This window comes from Homo sapiens, chromosome 3 (genome assembly GCF_000001405.40).
Source record: "Homo sapiens chromosome 3, GRCh38.p14 Primary Assembly".
Lineage (NCBI taxonomy): Eukaryota > Metazoa > Chordata > Mammalia > Primates > Hominidae > Homo > Homo sapiens.
Window position 1 is genome coordinate 88,227,616 of NC_000003.12, and position 5,806 is coordinate 88,233,421.

Consider the following 5,806-nt stretch of genomic DNA (forward strand, 5'->3'; position numbering starts at 1 on the left):
CATTCTTCTCTTTAACTTATATATTCCTTGGTGACAACCTAGTGAGATATTTTTTTCCCAGGATTTCTTATTCTTGTATGTCTTCCCTACTCCCATTTTCTTTTACAGTAATAGCAGAATCTTAGTTTCCTTAATTGAGAAAACACTACACACATTCTTCTAGCTAAGCAGACCAAACACTAAAAATTATGCATTAATCTGGAGCCTGGGTTCAAATCCTGAGTTTAAATCATTCATTAGCTCGATAACCATGGGCAAGTTACTTTAACTTTGCATGCCTCAACTTTTCCCTAAAATAGCATTAATAATGTTACAATACCCATACCCTTGAATTCCAGTGAGGCTAATTGGTAATCTTCTGCACTATAACAAACTAACCCAAACTTAATGTCTTAATAAACATTTATTATTTCTCATAACTCTATGCTTTGGCTAGGAGCTTCTTCTGCTCTGGAGATATTTGACTTAGATGGATGATTTAGGATGGTTTCATTTATAGTCTGGTGGTTGGTAAGCCGTGGTCTAGGGACCCCTCACTCTCGTGTCTGCCGAGTGGCCAGATGTAATCTGTGGTGATGGCATATGCCTCTCACCATCCAACAGGTTAGCCCAGGCTTCTTCACATGGTGATATCAGGCAGCAAAAGAGGGCAAGTCCATTTTCAACCTTCTGCTCGTCTCATGTTTGCTGTGTCCTCGACTAAAACAAAGTCCATGATCAAACCCAGAGTGAATGCGTGGAGAGATAGACTCCACCCCGATAGGAGGAGTGGAAATTCACATTGCCAAGGAGCATACATTCCAGGATGGGTGGAATTTATGGGCTTTTTGAAATCTGCCATATAAGGTGTGAGATGAATTGGGAGTGCTGAGAGTAACAAAGTAGTAAATTCTAAGTAAGACTTAGAATTAATGACTAGCATATAGTAAGAGTTCCAAATAAATGTTATCTGTTATCATCTTCATCTGTTATCATCTTCATCATCTTCTTGATTAGCACCACCCTTACACTTAGCTCTTGGCATTAGATCTGGTTTTGTGCAGTGACCTCTTTCATATGTAAATGAGAAATTATATCTATTTAGATGCTGTTGAAATTCTGATGCATCTGCTGTAAGATTCTTTATGTGGACTCTCTTTAGGAAGGTGAGTAACATGGTCATTACAGAAAAAATTTGTTTTTCTACAATCCACTCTTTACACTCTTGCCAGAGTAATACTTTTTTTTTTTTAAGTCTTGACTTTTTTTTAATTTCTAAGTTTCCAGCCCCATTTTCCACAATACTCTCAGCCCGCGCAGAATAGTCCCTCACAACAAAGAGTTGTCTGGCCCCAAATGTCAATAGTAGCACTGTTGAGAAATCCCACTTTAGGGTATATTTAATATTGGCTTGGCTCAGATTTTGGGTTTCCATTCCTTTATAGGATTCTGCCTAAAGAATGCAATATAATTTTTAAATATTTTAGAATGACAATAATTTTATTAAATATAGCACTGATAATTTTATTTCTTGAAAGTAAAATCTTTAAAGATTTAAAGTTAAATGTTTTTGAAGAAATTTATTTTAAATGAAGTAGAAACTGACCAAGTGAAATTGAAATGGCTTTGAAATAGACTAAACTGACTTCCTTGAACCTGAATTTCTGACTGATAGTAACTGGGTCTCAGCTAAAAGCAGTATTCACAACGTGGACCTTCAGATATGAAACGAAGCCCTTGAGGCTGGTATAGTAGATGAACTCATATTGCTTTGGATTTCATTATCCTTAATAACTATGATAAATGCCAGTCATGGATTCTCACAGATTGATTCTATCTTGGGAAAGTTTCCATAAAGATGTGACTCAGGTAAGACAAATGTGTTTTAAGTATCTAATCTATAGTGAAAAATTTGTCCTATCCCTGAGGAATGAAATGATAATTTCAAACACATGTTTGGATAACTGGACAGTAGAGACAATGTGAGGATTGCCATGGTAGCTTATTTAAGAAAACAGTATCCATTTGTAGTTAAACCAGAAAGATTCTACTCAGATAAAAATGATAAGGGGCATCCGTTAGATCTTAGGCTGTCCTCTCCTCCTCCCCTTCCTGACATTACCATCAGCCAAACTGGGAACCAGCAGTGCTCTGAATCTATCTCACAGAGCTCCAGAGGGACCATGTGAACCTTCTTGCTGCACTAGAGAAACTGATGCTGTAGTCAACTCTTTCTTCTTTCTGTTTATCGAGGGATGGAGGATCTCCTCCTTTCTTCCCCTGAAGTGTTTATGAGGAGATCTTAGTGGCTTTGCCATTCAAACCACAGAACAGTTTTTGCCTGTTTGTTGAAAACTGGTAGAAGGAAAACAGCACAGCCTGACCCAGTAATTGCAGGAAGATTGAAGAAAAATCTTCATCAATGCCAGGAGACATAAAACTATTTCCCCTCCGAATAGCTCAATGATTTAGATACAGAACATTTCTCTTGTATTTAGACTTAGAATAACAACAGCTGAAAACTTCAGGTTCTTTCCTTTGACTATATAAGGCTTCTCTATTGGGGAACAAGACAGGGAGGGGGCCTCATGACTGAGGGTGGACTTAGCGGGTGAGGATGATATCCCCAATCCTGATTAGGAGGCTCTGTGCACCTCCTTGGGGCACAGTCTGATGGTACCATTTCTGTTCAATCCAAACAGATAAGACAAAAGAAAATAATTTTTTTTAAATGATAGCACCAAGCTCCTTAGCGGCATGGGTTTTGAGCAACCACAAGCGATAGTTGCTATGAGTATTAATTAACCACCTATATCCTTGAAATAACATTGGAATCCAGGGCAGGGACTGGTGCATAAGGATGAGTCCCAGCCAGCAGAAGAGAGTTAAGGCTTGTGCCACAAAAGGTTGTCCTTAGACACTAGGCAGTCCTGACAGGATTCCCCACTCTCATCAGTTGGATTGGGAGGGCTGGCCAGTAGGTCCCCCCTTTCTGCCTTCCTTAACGTGCAGTCCCATTTTTCACGCCATTTCCTCCAGCTCATTCCTCTCTCACCAGCCGTAACTGTGGAGGAACAGATGTTGAGGAAAGGATTGGCCTCTTTTCATCTCCCAGAGGGTGCTGGCTACAGGTGAGATCTGGGACTTGGCCTGGAAACCACCACTCAGGCCCAAAGTCGGAAAGCCTGGGAAAGCCAGCGCTGAGACCTGCTCCACTGGATTTCTCTGAGACGCTCTACTTACATCATGCCCCCTTCTCAGTCTACAGGGGGCGGTGACCATAGAAGAAGAGGTAGAGCAGGATTTGCCCTGAGACAGTCAAGGGCCTGGTCCCCTAGATTCACTCGGGCTGTCCTAGTAGCTGGGGCATTCCCCAGCTCCTCCCCACCCGCTAATGGACTTCCTATTAGGAGTCCATTTCTACTTTTGTTTTTTCACCTCTTAGCAAAACTATAGAGATAAATTGGGCAATGGCAACTCCATTTGCTTAGGTTAGGTGGCAAAATGTATTTCTTTTTCCAAAAGAAAAGAAAATTACCTTAAAAATACATGAAACAAATTAAAAAAGAAAGGGAGGCTGGATTGTTTTAATTGCCCAAGCCTTGGTCTTTTTCTGTTCATAAATTAAGTTTCACACTTTGGTGATTTTCTTTTCTTGTTTAGGATAACATGCTGACTGTTCTAGCAGGTAAAGTTTTCAGAGTGTGTACCTTGGTCCGCCTTGCCTCAGCCCTTTTCCTGCAGTGAGTTCTACTTGTGCTTCTCACCATTTCACCCTCCTAGCCAGGTGACTTCACTCATTCCCACCAAGAACAAAGGGTTTTTTATGTGTGTTGAGAGTGCTTAAGTCTTGACTCACCATTTCCTCGGGTGGGGGTTGCGAGGCCACTTGTGACATTTCTGTGCAAATTTTACCTAACCCATAGCTACATGAAGGAGTTTAAAATGAATTTCAGCAGGTAGCGAGTTAGCATATAAACAAACATCCCTTAAAACCATAGAGATTTTCCCCTTTCTCTAGAATCTTGACTCTGGTCCCAGAAACCTGAATGAATAAAAAGAGTCCCCTTTGCTGTGGTAAAATAGATTGGTACCCAGTCCTGATACATCACTTACTGAGGAGAGAGAAAAATGTATTTTTATGAACGCAAATCAGGGTGAGGGCTGGAGGGGAAACTCCTGCTTGTGATTGCTTTAAAGTTGAGTACTATTCTACTCCATAATTGCAGCAACTTTGAACATTGTACTTTACTGGAAATCTGCCAGCCTCCACCACCTCTGTTCTGATTGTGCCCTTCCTCTTCCCCTTTAATCTGTTCTTTACTTTGTCTAGGGGGAGATGGGGCTCAGACATTGGAGTTTGTTTTTTGATAGATGAGCACTCCAGTGTTCTTCCCAGGAAGGTTGTTTCAGCCACAAACCACTTCATTCTGCTGTTTCTATTTGAATATAAAAGGAAATATATTAAAAAAGAGATATTGTTTCAATAAGTTTGCTAATAAATACAAAAAAAGAAGATATTAATGAAAATTGTTGTAACAGACTGGCACTAATCTATCAATCTGATAAGCGATGGATGGTAGAATGAGAAATATGGAGTTACAGTGGGATCCTGTTACTTAGGAGACTGAGGTTAGGAGAAATAGGACTTCTTAAGATCTGAGGTAAAAATTTGTTTGTCCAGTTGTTCATTCATTTGTGGCAGTCATCCTATGCATCAGTTAATAAATACATGCAAAATATTTAATATGAATATGGTACTATTATTAATCTCTATAATGAAAAATTAGTAAACTCAATGTCTACAGAATTAGTGAACAGGTTAGTGAAGCTGACAAAGTATTATGCCATAGAGAATAGTGGGGAATTGGTCAGGTGGAGAGCACATGTCCCACCTAAATGGAGCAACCACTACCCAGCTCATGTTAAGCCCAGTATTTTCCAGATTTCCTGTTTTTTCAAAATAATATACTCAGGCTATTTTTGTGTGTGTGTGAAATTTCTTGATTTTAAAATACTATGCCATTTTAGTCAATATTGTGCTGGCGGTTCCAGCCAGGGCAATTAGGCAAGAAAAGAGATGAAAGGTAGCCAGATTAGAAAGAAAGGAGTAAAATCATCCCTAGTTGCAGATGACATCATCTTTTATACAAAAATTCCCAAGAAAACCACTAAAAATAAAACTACTAGGACTCATAGATGAGTCCAGCAAAGTTGCAGAATGCTAGTTCAACATACAAAAATCAGTTGTATTTATATACATTTGTAATGGATAATCTGAAGTTAAAATTAAGAAAGTGATTCTATTTATAATAACATCAAAAAGAATAAAATACGAATACATTTAACAAAGGGAGTACAAGACTTGTACTCTGAGAACTGAAACACGTAATTGAAAGAAATTAAATAACTCAATAATGGAAAATATCAAATATTAATATATTAGATGACTTAATATTCTTAAGATGGTAATATTCCATAAATTGTTTTGTAAACTCAACACAATCCTTTATCAAAATTCTAGCTGACTTCTTTGCAAAATTGACAAGCAAATCCTAAAATTACCATGGAAATAGAAGAGACTCAAAATAGCCCAAAAAATCTTGAAAAAGAATAGCAAAGTTTAAGAACTCACACTTCTGATTTCAAAACTTACCACAAAGCTGCAGTACTCAAGACAGTGGTGGTACTCGCATAGGATAGACATAAATCAGTGGAATAGAATTAAGAGTGCAGAAATAAACCCACATTTTGGCCAATTGATTTTTGGCTAGGGTGCCAAAACAATTCAGTGTGGAAAACAATAGTCTTTCAACAAATGGTGCTG

At 38.6% G+C, this 5,806-nt stretch overlaps 4 annotated features.

Annotated features, from left to right (window-relative positions):
• Positions 2,702-3,203: an enhancer, noted in NCBI's record as "H3K27ac hESC enhancer chr3:88279467-88279968 (GRCh37/hg19 assembly coordinates)". NCBI's record gives its function as "activates a minimal SCP1, AML or CMV promoter by ChIP-STARR-seq in primed H9 embryonic stem cells {active_cell/tissue: H9 hESC(primed)}" and the evidence as "EXISTENCE:reporter gene assay evidence [ECO:0000049][PMID:30033119]".
• Positions 2,702-4,012: a biological region, named in NCBI's record as "MED14-independent group 3 enhancer GRCh37_chr3:88279578-88280777".
• Positions 2,813-4,012: an enhancer, noted in NCBI's record as "MED14-independent group 3 enhancer chr3:88279578-88280777 (GRCh37/hg19 assembly coordinates)". NCBI's record gives its function as "activates an origin of replication core promoter dependent on BRD2, BRD4, P300/CBP and CDK7 cofactors, and independent of MED14, by STARR-seq in HCT116 cells {active_cell/tissue: HCT116}" and the evidence as "EXISTENCE:reporter gene assay evidence [ECO:0000049][PMID:35650434]".
• Positions 3,204-3,703: an enhancer, noted in NCBI's record as "H3K27ac hESC enhancer chr3:88279969-88280468 (GRCh37/hg19 assembly coordinates)". NCBI's record gives its function as "activates a minimal SCP1, AML or CMV promoter by ChIP-STARR-seq in primed H9 embryonic stem cells {active_cell/tissue: H9 hESC(primed)}" and the evidence as "EXISTENCE:reporter gene assay evidence [ECO:0000049][PMID:30033119]".